Consider the following 20,242-nt stretch of genomic DNA (forward strand, 5'->3'; position numbering starts at 1 on the left):
AGAGAGAGGGAAAGAGAGAGATGAGAGAGAGAGAAGCATCAGGTGCTCAGCAAAGTAGCCAGATTATGATTTTCTGAGGAAGGAGACTGAGTCTCTCTGTATGGTAGAGTCGTGACTTACTGAATATCATGTCCTATAACAGTGGTTTCATTCCTTTCTTTTAAATGATGTTAAATTTTATGTGTAGTGGCCAAGTAAACATAGGTTTTGAGGCATAATCGTATCCCCGAAATCGCATGGCATCAAGTCCTCTTTCTCTCAATATTGTGCATGGTATAACAATAATTTTTTTCTACCTAATTTCCTTGCCTTGAAATGCTCACCACTGTGCTAATGCAAAACCAGCAGAAAGCAGATATGCATCTCAGGCTGGTTGACACCATAAGAAGAGTATACTTACTTTAAGGAAATCTGTGTGACTGATTAGTTGTTCACAAGGTCAAGTGGTTTGATGTACTGAACTTAAGAAGTTAATAAGAAATGCAAACATTAAAAGTTTCACAATGAAAATGTAAAACATGGTTAAAAAAGATCATTTCCGGTTGGCTGAAGGGATGAATTAGGTATATTCAGGACTTTCTGGTTTTCTGTGGAGATGAGTTTCACAGATATCACCCCTGAATAGACAGCCCCTGATTTTTCTCAATTACCTGGGAGCAACTGTTTCTTGTCCTTTCACCTCTTCAAGATCACTTTGCTTTTCTGTAAATAAATTAAGAGAAGACCAGCCAGGTGAACCTGATCACATTCACACATGCACAACCTTGTGTCCAAATCTACATAGGGGCATAAATACACGCAGTGCGAGAACAGGCTATTGTGAGAGAAACTTTCCAGGAGGTCTCAGGGTGAGCCTTGTGAGAAGTCACTAGGTTTGCTTTCCTGAGTCATGGAGCAAATCTCCCTGATCTGACAGGTCATCATCACAGTCCCTTCTGTCTTGAGTCACAGCAAACTGTTAACCATATCCTGTTTACTAACAGATCCTGGGGATCTACTTTAATGCTTCTTAGCAGGTTACTGCAGTATTCAGCATGTTTCCTTCTGATAAGCTGTTGTCAGTGTTTTTGTAGAATTTGCATTTAGAGGGACAGATTAAATCAAAAGAATCTCTAATGCTACATGGAAACATTGGCCTTTCATATGGCAGGGAGTTCCAGGGCCCGGCCTCCTTTCAGAGAAACATACAAAATTTAATAGTGGTGTTCATGTTCTGGTACTCAGAGACTTCTTAGCTAAGACAAGCCTACTAAAAGGGGAGGGAGTCTAGCCTGAGAGAAGTGAACGAGGGAAATGACAGCTCCAAGAATATCGATAAGGCTGCCAGTGGCCTTGGACAGGCAGAGAAACTCAGGTTGTTTGGGAGGGAAAATTAGATTTCATGTGAGATGACAGATTAAATCTAAATCAGGAGGACTGGTAGATACACCCTGCACCCAGGCTGCAGAGGTGGGTATGAATTTGTCAGGTCAACCTTGGGTACAGTGATCTGCCAATGGGGCAATGATGAAAGACAATGTGTGGTTTTGGACTAGAATGGAGCACAACTCTGACTTATAGGATGCCTTCCTTCAAACTCAATCCTAGAGCCTGGTTCTAACCAGTATATAAGCATAGAGTCTTCCTGAAGGTATGACATCCGTCACTATGGACAAATCTGGGGTACAAACAATAGGGAGCCTACCGAGGAAGCCAAGTGAGGTTTCATCCCATTTGGGATTGGAGTAATCCCTGGCAACATCCTGAGCGGAGCAAACTTTCTGTTCATCCAATGCCAAGAAAGAGACTTCACGATGCCGGTAAGAGTTGGACTTGTCATGGTGTCTAGAATGAGACAAAACACATTTCTCTGGCAAGTCCTGCAGGACTCCCTTCTCTTCAGAATCCTGCAGCTTTCTGATGAGCCAGGTAGGATAGAACGACAGAAGGTTAGACCAAGACAGATTCAACACCATAGTATCTCAGGTGATTTGATAGGACACAAAGGGTGTGGTCACAGAAAGCAAAGGAGGGTCTCCTCCAAGAGAGAAAAATCTATCCTTCTAAATGTGGGGTGGAGTGTGACTGTCCTGGAGACAGAGCAAACATGAGCAGCAGGTGCTCAGTGCACTTGCCACAAACGAGCGGCTGCAGGAGGACCCAGACTCTCCCTGTAAGCTAGCATCAAGCATCATGACTTGCAGCACTGAGAACTAAGCTGGGACTTCACTTCCTTTACACAAATTGCGTTGACATTACATGCAGCATCCAAGTGAACACAGCTCTTGAGGCATTCCCAACGCACAGATCCTGTGTTTTTAAGGTCCCCCTTTTTTTTCAATATTTTGACATAATATGAAATTTTTATTTTTAATTTTCTCGATTGCATTCAAATACTTGCCAACATGCTGTCACAAAACATACAGAAAGCATATATGCATCTCACCCTGGATTAGCCACATGGGAGACCACAGGTGAGATCAGGAAATCCCTGAGGTTGGTCAGTTCACCTGGTTCAAGTGATTGTCGGTTCCTATGCTTGAGAGGGATTAAGAAATTGAAACCTATTCAAGTACCACAATAAAGAAGACAACATTGTTAAAGGGGCAATTTGCACTTGGATGAATGGATGAGACAGTTCTATTCGTCACTTCCTATTTTCCCTTGATCCGTGGTGTCCAGATGTCACTATTGAACTAACAGCCCACAAATCCACAGTTACCTGGGGGGCACTGGCGCTTTCCCCTCCTCCTCCTCATGGTCATTTTGATTTTCTGTAAACAAATTCAGAAGAGCAGGTCACAGTAAGGAAATCACACAAGAGCAAATAAGTGTCCAGTCATAGCACAAGAACATAAATATCCTCAGTGTAAGAATGTGACATTTTGACAGGATCATTCTGACTTATTTTCAGAAGTAGATGTGCCTGCTTTCCAGACCCATAGGACAAAATCTCCCTCATCTGGTAGATCATAATCACCTATCCTCTGACCTAAGTCTGTGCAAACAATTAAACAAAACTTTTTCCCCAAGATTTTCAAAAATTGCCCTAACCACTCTCCAGAAGTGTTGTTGCAATACTGATTTATCTCATCATATATCATGGTCAACGAATGGTTAGAGAAATTTGTATAGGAGACTGAACTGATGGATAAATTCTAACAATCCTTGCATAAAAAAGAGTCTGCGGTGCTACACAGAAACATTGACCGCTCATGGGGTGAAGAACTCAGGGCCCAGCCTCGTTTAGGGAAACTTATAAGCAAGATAAAGGTAGAAGTGTTTATGTCCTGCTTTCAAGGTGACTGCTTAGCTGGGACAAGCTGACCTAAAGGAGACCAAGCCTGGGGCCGAGAACAGTGAATCCAGAGACACATCTCCAATTACATAGGCAAGACTGTCAGTCGCCTGTGACAGGCATAGAAACTCCATGGACATTGTTCAGGGACACAAATCATTATTGCATGTGACAAGAGACATAGGAACCGAGCCAGGAGGCCTGACAGATACCTCCTGTACACAGGTGGCTATGACTTTGTCACACCTGCCTGTGGTCCAGTATGCTAATATTGGGGCCAGGAAGACAAAGTCCATGCCATGGGCCTAGGAGGAGAGGAATGTTCTCTGACCCTCACATAACTGTGTTTAATATTCTATCATAGTTTCTCTCTTTCTTTCTTTCTTTTCTTTTCCTTCTCTCCCTTTCTTTCTTTTTCTTTCTTTCTTTCTTTTTCTTTCTTTCCTCTCTTTCTCTCTCTCTCTCTCCTCTCTCTCTCTCTGTTTCTTTCTTTTTCTTTTTTTGAGACACAGCCTCACTCTGTCACTCAGGCTGGAGTGCAATTGTGGCTCACTGCAGCCTTTACTTCCTGGGCTCAGGTGATTCTCCCGCCTCTGCTGCCTGGGTAGTTGGGATGACAGGCACGCACCACCATGCCTGGCTAGTTTTTCATGTTTTTTGTAAAGACGGGTTTCATCACATTTCCCAAGCTGGTCTTGAACTCCTGAACTCAAGTGATTCACCCGCCTGGGCCTCCCAAAGTGCTGGGATTATAGGTGGGAGCCACCGCCCCCGGCTCCACTATACTTTGTGATTCAAACCAATATGTATGTATACAGTCTGTCCTCAGAATTGATCTTCCTCAGCCTAGACAGAGCTAGGAGGGACAAAGAATAGAGAGGCTACCTGGGGGAATGTTTAGAGCTTCCTCCTCTTCATCATGAGGGTGTTCACTCTCTACAACCAGAGCAGAGTCGACTTCGTGTTCCTTAAATGTGATTTTGGTGCTCCTGTGAGGCTGGTTGGAGTTAGAAGGGTTGTGACTATTTGAACAAGTGACAGCACATTCCTCCAGTGAGTCCTGAGGGACTTCCTTTTCTTCAGTCTTCTGCACCTCTCTGATGAGCCCAGTGGGATAGAGATGACAGAAGATTAATCCAAAAGGCATTGCACCCCAAGAAGTCCTAGGTGGTTTTGAAAGGAGGCTTAAGAGAGTGGTCCCAGAATGCAAAGGAGAGGTTCCTTTTAAGAGGGAACAGGCAATCCTTTTCTGTCTGCAACAGAGCGTGGCTGCCATGGGAACCAGAGAGGAAGACAGCAGCTAGTGATCATTGCACTGGGCAGATAGGAGCTGAGGAGGAGGAAGACTCAGCTGTCCCTGTATGGTACAGTCTTGACAGCACACACAGAGAACCAAAAACAGCTGCCACATGGTGTGTCTAAGCTGGGTTGTAGTTAACATACTGTGGCCATGGCTATACAGGCATTTGAGCCATTGTAGACTTCAGAGATGGTGTGCCTTCTAGTTTTTTTAAAATTTTAATATTGTGACATGAAATGTAAATTTTTTTGTCTAGGTACTGTACTTTGTGTTCAACTTTGCTAGGTGCTTCCTATTTCCTCTGCTTGTTGCCTCTCTGCTATTTATCTTTCCTAAAAAGAACCTAAAGACAACAGTGTAGAAAGCAGCTTTACATCTCATCCTGGCTTTCACTACAGGGGAGAACAGGTCTCCTCTGTGTGTGCAGGAAGTCCCTAGGGATGGTGAGTTCATCTAGGGTCATGCTTACAGGCACCAGGAAGACAATGGACAAGCACGTTAATGGGGCTATTTCCTTGTTGGGTGAGCACATGAAATCAGTGCACTCTGCAGCTTTCTTTATCCTGCCTCTGGAATCTGTGACTACCTTCACCTCCCTTTTATTCTTTCTGAGACCTTTTTCATATTTTACCACCCATTACCCGCTCCTGATTATTCAATGTTACCTGGGGGCAGGTGATTCCTGTACTTTCTCAACCTCCTCGTCTTTGTCGTCTTCATCCTCATCTTCATCTTCATCATTTTCTGCAAATACAGATGTGTCCATTGAAATATTTCCCATTTCACCCACTGCAAGCACAGTGAGCCCTATGTGCACAGGGACATAAACATCTACATGTATAAGTCCACACTGTGCTGAAAGCTCTCATGTTTTATCTCTAAAAAAATGCCCTGGCATGTTTTCCTGATCCATGAGGCAATGTGTTTCTGATCTGGAGGGTCACCATCAAGATGTGGCCAAATATTGAAAAGACCTTTTCCTCTTCATATCACTGGAGGCTTGCCCAGCCTCTCTCTGAACTTCAGCAGCTGTCTCCCCAATCCTGCCACAGATCTGATTCCCACGCACAGGCTCTGTATCCTGTCACAGTTCGCATTTAGAACCTATATCTTTCTCTTCGAACAGGACAAACAACCTTGTCCCACAGTATTCCATACATTAGGGACTTCATGGGCCCTCCAAGTGGCTTCCACTGTGTTAACCGGGGACAATCTCTCCATGGGGAGTGCTCCAGTCTAAACCACTTCCTACCACCAAATGCCACCACATCAAGTGCCTTCTCCAACACCACACAGCAAGGGGCTTTATCTCATTGTGAAATATAGTCATAAGTGTTCCCACATTTGAATGCAAGAGACAATTTGTTTGCTTTTACAGATTTAGAGACAGAAACCCAGGAAGGATAAATTAATCAGTTGCCCACAGTTGCTAAAGACATTGCTGAAGATAGATCCTGGGAACATTCATTCTTAGTCCAGGGCTCCTTTCACTCTAAAAGCTGCTTCCTGTCACAGCCTCCTTCCTGTTCTTTAAAACTGGACGGATGTTGCCTCTTGCTCTAAAGACCACATTCCATCAAGAAAGGAGGATACATTTGCCATTCTGTAACCTCCACCCCATGGGTTTCCCATCTCTGCTCCCACCCAAGAAATTCTGATCATGTCGTGGCCACAAAAGTTTACTGGAAAGAAACACTACCCATACAATTGTCATTGTGGAGGTGTGGAGGTCTGGGGACTTTCATAAGCCTGAAGCTGTGTGTCATCAGGGCCCATGGCCACCTTACCTGGGCTCAGCTTGTGAACAAGGTGCTCTGCCAGCCTGTGCCCCTCAGCCAGCTGCTCTCGGAGGTCCTGACCCTGGGACTTGTCAGGGTCATCAGGAGTGAGGAGGGTTTTCAGATGCTTGTTCAGCCAGCGGGAGGCATCTCTCCCTTCCCGTAACTTCTCCCGTAACTGGGTCAGCTCTTTTGCCTGAGAGTGAACCAGGGCTTTATACTGCCTAAGGTGAGATAGTAGAGAACATTTAATAATGGAAAGGGATGAGTGATCAGTTCTAATACCGCAACAGAGGTTTCTCTGAGAATGTCCTCAAGGAGACCTCCAAGCAGAAGGTCAGAACATGTTTGGGGAAATGTCTGTGGCCAAGAGAAAGAAGAATATATATATATATATATACACACACACACACACACACACATACATATATACAAACATACACACACATATATATACAAACACACACACACACAGCCTTCTGATATATGAGAGACTGCTTCTGTAATATCCTCGCAGATGTTCCATTCATCTTTTTCTTCTGTAAACAAAAGTTAGTGTCTTCCTAAATCAGTTCCACAAGGATGTCCTTTCAGTTCCTCACTTTGGCCATGGGCATCTCTATGTGAAAATTCACATAGCGCATCTTGCAGTGACTAGATACAAAGCCATGCACAGAAATGTGGCCAGGTGCAGATGGGGTGAATTGGAAAGATGAAAGAAGAAAAGAATGACAGTGTTAAGAAGGCAATATTGATTGAACAAATGAAACGCCACAGTCAGTCAAGAGGTGATTCTGACTAAGAGTAAAGGTGGTGGTGATCGCACACCATTCTGAGTATCCTAAATGCTTCTGAGTGGTTCACTTTTTTTGGTTTATTTTGTGTTATGCAAATTTTACCTCAACAATCAGTGGTTTTAAGAAGAGAAAACAAGGCTTAAGAAACAACTACAACCCATAACTTACTAAGATGACTGTTCTCTGTTTTATAAATATTTGTGTGACACGTGCCTGCCATGTAAATGCCTGCCGTTGTCCTGGCCCAGCTCAGCTCTTAGTTCTCCCAGCTGAGTTGCTGCACTTCAGAGATTCACACCCCTGCCCATCTGCCTGCCCCCAGTGGGGCCCGCTCACCTGAGCTCCTCAGCTTGCCTGAGCTTCTCTGCCAGCTTCTCCATGGACTGCAGTTCATCCCTCAGCACAGAGTCTATGATGTCTTTGTACTCTTCACACTCTGAGAAAAGACAGACACGCCTGCCTCAGTGGAAGGTGGGACATGCTGCTGGGGTCACTGTCTATAGGGCAGGCGGCAGCATCCATCCCAAGGACGAAAGCAGCTCCAGTACCAGGCTCCAGGCAGGCATTTCCACATCTTTATTTATCAACCTCCCAACTTTCTGGCATCTGATACTCCCCAACTCAGGGATGGGGAGAAAGAAACACAAGGGCACATCAAGTAACTTGACAAGATGATTCACCTGGAAGAAGGCGGAGTCAGAATTCACAGCCCCTGAGGTCTGACTCTGAATCCTGGGCCACTTTCCCAAGCCTTGCGGCCTCTCCTGTAAAACACTGCACTGGTGCATGAAGTAGTGATTTTCTATACAGTCAGGAAGGCCCTAGGACTATGGGACCCAAAGTTTCCCTTGTACTGGGAATTTCAAGTGCGAATATGTCAAACATTTAAAAAATCATATCTGGATATAATTGCATAAAATATGAGGCACAAGACCGTGAGGCTATAGTAGAAATATGCCCAAATACTACTAAAGTTTGAATTAAGTTAGAAATAGTAGAATGAAGAACTAATAGATAGTGTTTACTCTGTTCCAAGAACTGTTCTAGGAAATTTACAAGAAATAGGTCATGTAATTCATTGCAGTAATTTACAGAGGTAGGTATTATTATAGTACTCAATGAGCAGATGAGGAAACTGAGGCACAGAGAAGATAGGCAACTTGGATGGAGCCCAGGAGACTGGCCCAGGGTCCCTGCTCTGCACACTACACTGCTACCTCTACAATGTCTCATGTGCCATCTTTCTTCCTCTTCAGGAATAAGAGCCTGTGCCCCAGGAAGCAGCACTTCCCTCTCACTGGGACACTCCCTGCTTTGAAGGGTGTCACAGATATCACAGTTTCTGTTAGGGGCAGTCTCCTCTTTAAGCTCCTTAGAGTGGGTACTCTGTACAGTTGCCATGTTTCCCCCAGGGTCCTCTGGATGGAGCTTTGCCTATTGGGCCTCAAAGAAGCTTGAACTGAATGGAAGTTCATTAGTCCCAGACATTTAGACCAACAGACTAGATGTTACTTGTCTGTAGAATCTTATATGGTACAGAGAGGATTCTCATAAACATGATTTAGCCTCTTACTGAGGAAAACAGGTGGTTCTGTGCCTGTGTCAGAAGACAATAAGTAGGATTTTAAGTCTAGTCCCACCTCACACCAGACTGCCAATGTGGAAAAGTTGCTAAATACTTTGTGCCTCTGTTTTCCATGTTTAACAAAATGAGGTTAAAACATCCACTTCTATTTTCCTAGAAGTATGGGAAGGATGAAATTAATTTCGATGAAAAGACTGTTCAGTTTCTCAGAACACAGGTGATCATTCATCACGTTCATCATTGTGAATCTATAGAACTTACTGTATTTCTTCAGCTGGTTGGCCAGGGAGTAGGCAGTAGCTTGAGTTATAAGGAATTTCTCTTTGAGGTCTCGGAACTGCTGATTGCTCTCTGCCAGCTGCGAGCGCAATTCCTGGTTGATTTCTAGGATGTTCATCTCTGCCCTCTCGCTGGACAAAGGGTCGGCAGATACCACCATGCTGACGTTTGTGGCAGAAGAGGTAGAGCCAGGGACTGGGGAGAAGAAACCCAGACACATGATGGGTCAAAAAATAGTGAAATCAATTAGGTTTAATCAGGACTGAGAGATGACAATTACTGGAATTGTTAACTTACAGTTGAGAAAAAGTTGATGAACACGACACAACACTTTAGAGTCCTTAACCGCAAAAACAGGGACCGGGATGCCTGAGCTCAGAGCTGAAGGCACTGCCTGTAGCTCCGACTCTGACAAGAGTGAGGGAGGTAGCAGCCAGCGTACCAGGTAACGGTCTGCAGTTGCAATAACAGAATTAGAAGGTGGGGGTGTCATGGAATCTTAGAAACCCTGCATTCCAATTGCCCAGGCTGTGCTGAAACACTAGGCCCCCTGGTCTCACCTGAGGGTCACTGATGGGGACCATTTCTTCAGCAGTCACTCTCAGTATTTGTGCACCCTTGTGACAATGCTACAGGCCCACCTCTTTCTCAATACATATAAGCATATTCCTCATTGTTCATCTCTTGTGTGTATAAAATCATCAAGGTAGGGATAGTTTTCCAGAAGGTTATATTTTCTTAGTGGTAGTCATCAAGTCACCTCACCTTCTTTTTAAGGTAAAATGATCTTAATGCTTTTCCACAAGTGAAAGATAGCAAACTTTTAGTCTGCTATGATATCCCTCTGGGTCTTCTGCAGTTTTTTCTGTATCGACTGAAAATGAAGGAATAATTCACTTTTAAAAAAGATTTTCTACCCTGTCTCAGTATTCTTGCTGCATCCCATTGTTATGTTGATTTCTTTTCTCTTACTGGGGCAGCATCTTGGCTTTTCATTACACTTAAGACCAGTTTCACATCCCTACGTCCAAAGCTCTTCCTCTATGTGTGGGTCGGTTTGCTTTTTTAATGTCACTGAACACTCGTTTCATACTTGTCACTTACGAATATCATTCTCGTCCCAAAATAGCTCTTTTCAAGGTATCAAGTGATCAAAATCATTTGTATATATCCCCTGAAAACATGTGTGACCATCTATCTTGGGAAGTCTTGTAAACCTGATGGTATTTTGTTGTTTTTAGTTTTCCCATATATTGAAAAGAACAGGGCATTGAACGCTTCTCAGGGAATATTGTTGGAGATATATATATATATATATATATATATATATATATATATATATATATACACACACATATAGAGTTGCTCTAACACTGTTGATGTGTGGTTGCATTCCACTAACCGAACCTGGCAAGATCAAGCTCATGGTCACGGGTGGTTGGTGATCCTCAGTGTTCCTGTGCAGTAGAAGGTGAGTTTGAGATGAGAGGGATGAGTAGGGGAGTGTGCTCCCCCAAACCACCTCCTCACTTTCTCAGCTTCCATCTTCAACTAGGTCTTGTGAGGCTAGGACTTGGGAGATTGTCCTGTAGCCCAGGTCTCCTAAGTGTGGCTGCTGGACTTGCCTGAGTTGAGGGTGTGATGAGTGTGACCACGGGCTACGCAGCATTCATGTGGAAGTGAAGGAGGAGGACTGGATCAATCCCAGTGGAAAGCGCACCTCTCAGCAGCCCGCACCATCCTCCACCTACACTGTGTAGTGACAGTGCTTTGAGATGTAGCAAAGGCTATAAATTTATCTATTCTCTGGTGTCTCAAAGACCTGACATTCTGTGTCAGAATGAAAATCTGTCTAGTTTCTTCACTTTAAAAATGATAAAACTGCAGGTTCACAAAGTTACTGGTTTACTTGAGGTCACACAGGGATGCATTTTGAGCACTGCCAATAAAAGGAATCACAATAATTATTCAGTAATTATTTATAGAATCCATGTAATTCAATAAATAAAAATAATTATTTATTGACCAATTCATACTAGGCATTTTGTTCAAAACTGTACACATACTTGGATATCATATTTTCATCATAATCCTTAAGGCAATGTTATTATCCATAAGAAACAGGTAAGAAACCTGAAGAAGAGGGATAGCAAATCATGTATTTGGCTATATTTCTATTTTTTGGTTTCTGTGATGCTGGAAGAATGACCAGAATGAGTCATGGGAATAGCATTCATTCCTGTGTCATTTTCCAGGACAGAGGTGTGCCCTCCTTCAGCATTGGGACCGAAATTCAGAAGTGTCTGCAACCTTGCTTTAACAGTGTGGGAAATAACCTCTATTACCTGGAATTTCACTGGAACTTTGGAATATACAGAGAAATATGAGACTTGGGTCTTCCCCTGGCTGTATTTAATTCACTATTCTATTGAGTACCAATGATTCTCATTAAGACTTTTGCCTTTTTATAACTTTTCTTTCTGACACAGAATGTCAGGTCTCTGAGACACCAGAGAATAGATAAATTTACAGCCTTTGCTACATCTCAAAGCACTGTCATTACACAGTGTAGGTGGAGGATGGTGTGGGCTGCTGAGAGGCATGCTTTCCACTGGGATTGATCCAGTCCTCTTCCTTCACTTCCACATGAATGCTGGGTAGTCCATGGTCACACTCATCACACCCTGAACTCAGATACAACATATATTTTATGTATAGATACAATATGTATTTTATGGAGAAGATTTTACTCTTAGCTCTATTTAAAATGAATAATCTAAGCACTGGTTTAGGTTTTATGCCCTGGACTTGATATTTTTTCTGATTTCTGTTTTGAGATTAAATTCTCATGTAGATAGAAAAATGCTTATTACTTATAAGAGCAAATTAGTTATTGAGTTTCTGAAGTCGAAGCACAAACTTTTGTTTTTAATCTTTGTCTGACCCCATCAGTGCCACTCATTGTCTCTCAGAATGACCTGGCCGTGATCCTGCACTTACCCTCGTCCTGCTGAACCATTTCCACGCACTGTCCAATTCCATCAGTGATCTGGGCTCTTCCCAAAGCTCCTTGAAATGGGTCCAGGTCTCAGGATGTCAGACACCTTCCAGACACAAAAGTAACCCATACTGTAGAGAGCGCAGCTGGGTTCCCACCTCCCTGAAGTTGGCAGGGATGTCCTAGGGCAGGAAGGAAGGCTTTCCCTTTTTAGCGGGTCTTTTCTTCATGTCTCAGTGCCTCTGATCTAGTGAACACAATTGTCCTGAGCGGGAAAGAACTTGCTAAATTTCTGGTTTCTTGTTAGGTTGCTAGAATAGATTTGTAAGAGTTCCTTGTTTACCCATGTCTGCTGAAGTTTGAATTCTTAGCCATATGATTTCTTTTCTTGTAAATTGAGCAGCTTGGAGAAAACTGGCCCTGTTGCTATGCAAAAAGATGTAAACTTAATTTCTACTCAAAGCAAGTTTGAATTTGAAACTAGGGCTTCCACTGTTTCAATGTTGGACTGTCACTACCTCAGGCATGTGTCCCAAAGTGCTCCTGTCTCTGCCGTACTCAGGATAAAGTTAAGATGGAGCCCAGCAAGCCAGGTTTCCTTCACTTCTAGGTTCCCTCAACAGTTTTCTCCACTTTAGAGAATGCATTGAATATATTCTTGTTCTGCTTCTGTGTTTGGGCTTTGGAATGATGTGATGCAGCTCAATGGTTCCTACCCCCAAGTTGATCAGAGTAAGAAACATCTGGAAGGTCAGTGCAAATACAAGATCATTGTCCTCCTTGCAGGGATTCTGATTCAGTGCGCTCAGTTGGGGCCTGGAATGTGTTTGTTAACGACTTAGATGTGCAGTCAGACTGGGGACCCTCTGATACCACGGACCTTACAGTTTATGGGATGATTCTGTTTTGCTGATGACAAAACCAAGGCACAGAGAGTCTGTAACTTGCCCAAGTTCCCTTTGCTGTTAGTACTGGAGCCAGATCTCAGAAAGAGTCCCCTCCCCCAATCCCCTTTCCACATTTTCCAATTCAGTTGTTTCGGTGCTTTCCAAGTAGGTGTTTCTCTCCCCTGTACCTCATTTCTGCAAAACAAACAAACAAACACACATTAAAAAACAAAACAAACAAACAAACAAAAAACCTTCTTGAATTCAATTTGTTTCATTTAATACATTTCCTCACAACATGCAGTCAGCATTATGTTCTGGCCACTTACTATGAGTGTGAGATGCTTTTTTTTTTTTTTTTTTGAGACAGGTTCTCGTTCTGTCATCTAGGCTGGAGTGCTCACTGCATACCCAAATCCTGGGCACAAGTGATCCTCCTGCCTCAGCTTTCCAAGTAGTTCGAACTCTAGGCACACATCACCATTTCTGGCTATTTTTTTTTTTTAATTTTTTGTAGAGACAAGGTCTTGCTGTGTTGCTCAGGCTGGTCTTAAACTTCTTTCACTCAAGAACTTTTTATTGAAAAGTCTTTCATTTCCCCAATGAGAGGCACTGGCGTGTTTGTTTTTAAAAACTTTAAATAACTGTATATATGTGAGCATAATGTTTGAGTCTGTATTCTTTTTATCTTGATATACTTCTATATACTTACACTAGTACTATAGTTTTTAAATTATTGTAGCTCTAAATGAGTTTTGAAATCCAGCAGAATAACTCCTACAACTTACTGCTTCTTCAAGACCAACTTGCCTGTTCTAGCTTTTTTGATTTTCAAATACATTTTGAAATTAGCTTTTACATTTCTCTAAAAATTCCTACTGGAAACATTAGTCAGAATTATGTTGATGTAATATCTTAACAAAATTGAATCTTCCAATCCATGAATGTAATATATATTTCTCTATTTAGTCTTCTTTAATTTCTCTCACCAATAGCTTTCAGGGGCTTTGTACCTGCTTCATTATATGTATTCTTAAATATGTAATGATTTTGGATATTAATCTCTATTATGTTTTATTGAATTTCATTTTCTAGCAGCTAATTGCTAGTATGGAGAAATTAAGATGATTAAATAAACTTTATAAAGGTATTTATTAAGTACAATAGACTGCACCACTTTAAACTATGTAATCCAATGCATGTTCACAAATGTATACACTAATGGAACTACTGCCATAATCAAGATATAGGAATTTCCATAAGCCCAAAATTTCTTGTAACCCTTTGCAGTTAATCAGTATTTCAACCCTCAGGTTCAAGGAGCCACTGTCACTTTCTGGCAGTGCCTTTTTCACCATTTTCTATAAATGAAATTATACCTGTGTTCTTTTGCATCTGCCTTCTTTCATGCATCATATTAATTTGAAAATCCATCCATGTGAGCATTTTCGTCAACAGTTAATGCCTTGTAATTGCTGAGTAGTATTCCTTTGTGTGGCTACACCATGTTTGTTTATACATTCACTTGTTATTGGACATTTGTGTCATTCTAGGTTTGGGCTATAATGCATAAAGTATCATGAGCATCCACATACAGATCATTGTGTGGACATAGAGTGTAAATTCCTAGGAGTGCAAGGACTGTCCATTTGATCTGTACATGTTTAGTCTTATAAGAAACTGTTAGCCAGATTTTCAAAGGAGTTGTACCATTTTTCATTTCCACAAGTATAGGACTTCCAAGTACTTTATATCCTCACCAACATGTGGTATTTTCAGTCTTTTTAATTTTAGCCATTCTCATGGACATGTAATGGTATCTCAGCATTGTATTGATTGATCTCCCTGATGACTAAAGAGTTGAGCATCATTTCATTTGCAAATTGACCCTTCATATATCTTCTTTTCTGAAGTATCTATTCAAGTCTTTTGAGAAATTGTTTCATTGTGCTGTTTATCTTATCAGACTGCATTATATATATACCATTAAAAAATCTTTTGTTGGAGATAAATATAATTTCTCCTATATTGTGGCTTCTTTTTATGTTCTCTTAATGTTCCCTGTTTTGGAGATAAAGATAGAAATCATCAAACAGGTGATTATGTATATATACATATAACTATATTCACGTCTAAGAATAATTTATTAGACATATATGTAAGGGTCTATTTCTGAGTTCTCTTTTCTCTTCCATTGATATATGTTCTATTTTTTTCAACAATACACATGGTCTTGATTTCCATAGCTGTATAGTAAATCTGGAAATAGGTAGTGAATTCATTCACCATTGTTCTTTTATAATATTGCTCTCTTATTATTCTTGATCACTGACATTTTCATATAAATCAGCTTGTAAATTTCTACCAAATTGCCTGTTGGAATTTTTTGTTAGAATTGCATTGCATCTGGAGATCAATTTGGGAAGAACTGACTTTTTAACTATAACAGCTCTTCTGATCCGTGACAAGGTTTATCTCCCCACCAATTTAGTTTGTTTATATATATATCTAATTTCTCAAAGCAATGTTTTGTAGTTTTCAGTGTACTGGCCTTACATAAATTTTCTTGAATTTATTTCTAAGCACATCACGTATTTAGATGTTACTTTAAATGAAATTGTATTTTTATTTTATTTTCCAAACACTCATTGCTAATATACAGAAATACAACAGACTATTTATATTGAACTTATATTCTGCAACATTGCCAAACTCGCTTAATAGTTTTGGTATATTTTTGTAGATTTCTGGAATTGTTTACATACATAATCATGATCCGTGAATAAAGACAGCTTCAATTCTAGACAGCTTCAATTCTTTCTTTTCAATCTTTTCAATGTTTCTGTTTATTTATGTTCTTACTTTATTGCATCGGATAACATCTCTAGTTTAATGCTGGATTGAAAGAGTAACAGCAGATATTCTACCTTTTTCGCTATTTAATAGAAAGCATTCAATCTTATTAATGTTACCTGTGGGTTTTTCAAATCTGCCCTTGCAGGGTTGGAAGTGTTGCCTTCTGTTCTTACCAAGTTGAGAGTTTGTTTTTGTTAATGATGAAAAAAGTTTTCAATTTGCCAAACGCTTTTTCTGTGTATGTCAGGGTAATCATATGCTTTTTCTCTTTTGTCCTGATAATATACAGAATTTTATCAGTTTTTTAAAATATAAAAAGATGTATTAAATCAAGCTATGGCAGTTTTAAAATAATGTTTTAAACTTTTAGCAATTATATTGATATATAACTTACATGCAAAAAACTGCACATAATTAAAGTGTATAATTTAAAAAGTTTGAGCATAGTACACATCTGCAATCAGGATTAGTAAATACAGGCCGGGCATGGTGGCTCATGCCTGTAATCCCAGCACTTTGGGAGGCCAAGGCAGGTGGATTGCTTGAGCTCAGAGTTCAAGACCAGCCTGGGAAACGTAGTGAAACCCTGTGTCTAAAAAATATACAAAAATTAGCCAGGCGTGGCGGCATGTGCTTGTAGTCCCAGCTACTTGGGAGGCTGAGTTGGGAGGATGGCTTGAGCCCAGGAGACAGAGGTTGCAGTGAGCCAAGAGTGTGCCACTGCACTCCAGTCTGGGTGATAGAACCAGACCCTGTGTCAAAAAACAAACAAACAAAAAAGATAGTGGATATATCTACCACTTCCAAAGTGTCCTTGTTTACGTAGTAATTCCTCCCTCACCTTTCTCCCCACACCTCAGACAACCACTGGTTGGCTTTCTGTCATAATAGATTAATTTAAATTTTCTCAAGTTTTCTATAAATAGAATTATATACTATGTACATTATTTTGGTTTCATTTTTTAATTCAGAATAATTATTTTGAGATGTAGCTTTGTTGTCATGTGTATTAATAGATCACTCTGCTATATTGCTAATATTCCATGTGATGGTTATATCACAGTTTATTTTATTTATTCACCTGTTCATAGATTTGGATGGCTCTGGTTTTAAAACTAAAGCTTTTATCAACGAATTTGTATGGACATATCCTTTCCTTTCATTTGAGTGAAATAGCAGTATCATATGATACGTACAGGTTTACTATTTTAAGAAGCTGCCAAACTGTTTTATAACATGCTTGTAAAATTTCACATTCCCATCAACAGTGTATGAGTGTTTTTGTTTCCATATATCTTTGCCAATATGTGGAACGGTGATTCTTTTAACTTCAGTCATTTTACTTGGTATACAGTGGTTTAAATTTGCATTTTCCTAGTGACTAATGATATTGAATATCTTGTCATATTGTTATGTGCCTTCCATATATCTTCCTTGTGGAATATCTCTACAAATCTTTTATTCATTTGAAAATTTGATTGCCTGTTTATTAATAAATTTTGAGAGTTCCCTTAGTGTTGCAGACAGAGGTCCTCTATCGGATACATAATTTCCAAATATTTTCTACCTAAGTGTGGCTTGTCTTTTCATTCTCTTACCAATGCCTTTGAAGAGCAATTTTTTAAAAGTATTATTGAAGCGTAATTTATTGTTTTGTTCTTTTACCAGTTCTTAGGGGAAATGCTTCCAGCTTTTGCCCATTCCGTATGATGTTGGCTGTGGGTTTGTCATAGATAGCACTTATTATTTTGAGGTATGTTCCTTTGGTGTCTAGTTTGTTGGGAGTTTTAACATGAAGGGATGTTGAATTTTATCAAAAGCCTTTTCTGCATCTATTGAGATAATCATGTTGTTTTCAGTTTTAGTTCAATTTACGTGATGAATCACATAACATATGTTGAACCAACCTTGCATCCCAGGAATGAAGCCTACTTCTTCATGGTGCATTGGCTTTTGGTGTGCTGCTGGGTTGGATTTGCTAGTATTTTGTTGAGGAGTTTTGTGTCTCTATGTTCATCAGGCATATTGGCTTGAAGTTTTTTTTTAATGTTGTGTGTCTCTGCCAGGTTTTGGTATCAGAATGAGGCTGGCCTCCTGATAGGAGTTAGGGTAGAGTCCTTCCTCCTCAGTTGTTTGGAATAATTTCAGTAGAATTGTTACCAGCTCTTTATTATATAAGAATTCAGCAATGAATCCACCTGTTCTGGGCCTTTTTCTGGTTGGTTGGTTTTTTATTACCAATTCAATTTAGAACTCCTTATGGTCTGTTCCAGGATTTCAGCTTTTTTCTGGTTCAATCTTGGGAGAATGTACGTTTCCAGGAATTCACCCATTTCTTCCAGTTTTTTTTTTTTCTGGATTTGTTGAGCTGTTGTATGCATTTTCACATCTCAATTTTATTCAGTTCAGCTCTGATTTTGGTTTTCTTTTCTTCTGCTAGCTTTGGGGTTGGTTTGCTCTTCTTTTTCTAGTTCCCCTTGGTCTAATGTTAGGTTGTTAATTTTTTTCTTTTTTTATTTCAGCACAGAGTTGTTGATTCATAGATTGTTCATTTGAGCTCTTTCTAACTTCTACAAGAATGCCCACTCTTACCATTCCTATGCAACATGGTACTGGAAGTCCTAGCCAGAGCAATCAGGCAAATGAAAGAAATAAAAGGCATTGAAATACAAACAGAGGAAGTCAAACTATGTCTCTTTGCTGATGATTTAATTCTATATCTAGAACACTCCATTTTTTTTGCCCAAGACTATCCTTTCTTCATTGTGTGTTATTGGGAGCATGGTCAAATGTAGCTGACTGAATGTCTTTCCCCAAAGGCTAGAACTGCTAAGCAACTTCAGTAAAGTTTCAGGATATAAAATCAATGTACAAAAGTAGTAGCATTTGTATACATCAGTAACATCCAAGCTGAGAGCCAAATCAGGGATGCAACCCCATTCACAATAGCCACAAAGAGAATAAAATGCCTAGGAATACAGCTAACCAGGGAAGTGAAAGATCTCTACAACAAGGATTCCAAAACACTGTGGAAGGAAATCAGAGACAAGACAAACATATAGAAAAACATACCATGCTCCTAGGCGAATTAATGCAGAAACAGAAAACCAAATACTGCACATTCTTACATGTAAGTAAAAACACCATTTGTGATGGACATTTAAGTTGTTTCCATATCTTGGCTATTGTAAGTAATGCTGCAATGGACATGAGAGTGCAGGTATCTCTAGTAGGTGCTGATCTCATTTCTTTTGGATATATACTCAGAAGAGGGATTGCTGGGTCATATTTTTAACTTTTTGAGAAAACTCCATGCTCTTCTCCATAAGGAATGTACCAGTTTACATTTCCACCAGTGTACAAGTGTTTCCTTTTCTACACACCCTTGCCAACACTTCTCTTTGTCTTTTATACAATTGCCAACCTAACAAGTGTGAGGTGATATCTCACTGTGATTTTGACTGGCATTTCCCTGATGATTAGTGATATTGAGCAACTTTTCATATATGTGCTGGCCATCTGTTTGCTCTCTTTGGAGAAATATCTATTCAGGTCCTTTGTCTATTTTTTATTTATTTGGTGATTGAGTTCTATGAGTTCCTTATATTTTGGATAGAAACTCCTTAACAGATATATGGCTTGCAAATATTTTCTCCAAATCCATAGGCTGCCTTTTCATGTTGTTGATTGTTGCCTTTGCTGTGCAGAAGCTATTTGGTTTGATGTGGTCCTTTTTTTTTTTTTTTTTTTTGGCGGAGTTTTGCTCTTGTTGCCCAGGCTGGAGTGCAGTGGTGCAATCTTGGCTCACTGCTACCTCCACTTTCCGGGTTCAAGCGATTCTCCTGCTTCAGCCTCCCGAATAGCTAGGATTACAGGCTCCCACCACCATGCCTGGCTAATTTTTTTGTATTTTCAGTAGAGATGGGCCTTCGTCATATTGGCCAGGCTGGTCTCATCCTCCTGACCTCAGGTGATCCACCCGCCTCGGCCTTCCAAAGTGCTGGGATTACAGGTGTGAGCCACCATGCCCAGCTGGTCCCATTTGTTTGTTATTGCTTTTGGTGTCCTATCCCCCTGCACCCCCAACCCCCACCCCACAAAAGTCATTGCCAAGACCAATGTCAAGGAGCCTTTCCCCTTTGTTTTCTTCTTGGAGTTTTATGATTTTGTCTTACACATAAGTATTTAATCCATTTTGAGTTGATTTTTGTGTATTTTGTATATGAGTCCAATTTCATTCTTTTGCATGTGGATATCCAGTTTTCCCAACACCATTTATTGAAGAGACTATCCTTTCCTCATTGTATGTTATTGGGGGCATGGTCAAAAAGTAGTTGACTGTATGTACTTGGGTTTATTTCTGGGCTATCTATTCTGTTCCTGGTCTATGTGTCTATTTTAATGCCAGTCCCATACAGTTTTGATTACTATAACTTTGTAATATAATTTGAAACTAGCTAGTATGATCCCTTCAACTCTGCTTTT

General features: G+C 40.5%; 1 protein-coding gene across 8 annotated transcripts in view; it reads right to left on the bottom strand.

Moving 5' to 3' along the window:
• The window catches only part of NBPF4 (NBPF member 4), a 50,450-nt gene that overhangs the window by 12,122 nt on the left and 18,086 nt on the right, over positions 1-20,242 (bottom strand). For 3 of the 8 annotated variants that reach the window (XM_047446894.1, XM_047446895.1, XM_047446897.1), the window contains 10 exons: positions 12,017-13,096; positions 9,314-9,469; positions 8,999-9,211; positions 7,489-7,588; positions 6,365-6,579; positions 5,243-5,321; positions 4,163-4,374; positions 2,702-2,753; positions 1,685-1,824; positions 651-702 (listed from right to left, as the gene is read on the bottom strand). In XM_047446894.1, the coding sequence (XP_047302850.1) occupies positions 651-702; positions 1,685-1,824; positions 2,702-2,753; positions 4,163-4,374; positions 5,243-5,321; positions 6,365-6,579; positions 7,489-7,588; positions 8,999-9,211; positions 9,314-9,469; positions 12,017-12,035 (1,238 nt within the window). In that variant the 5' untranslated portion in view covers positions 12,036-13,096. Of the gene's footprint in view, positions 1-650; positions 703-1,684; positions 1,825-2,701; positions 2,754-4,162; positions 4,375-5,242; positions 5,322-6,364; positions 6,580-7,488; positions 7,589-8,998; positions 9,212-9,313; positions 9,492-12,016; positions 13,097-14,280; positions 14,973-20,242 lie in introns of those variants that run through there. The other 5 variants (XM_047446899.1, XM_047446900.1, XM_047446896.1 and 2 more) reach the window with 4 other exon arrangements.

This window comes from Homo sapiens, chromosome 1, assembly GCF_000001405.40.
Source record: "Homo sapiens chromosome 1, GRCh38.p14 Primary Assembly".
Lineage (NCBI taxonomy): Eukaryota > Metazoa > Chordata > Mammalia > Primates > Hominidae > Homo > Homo sapiens.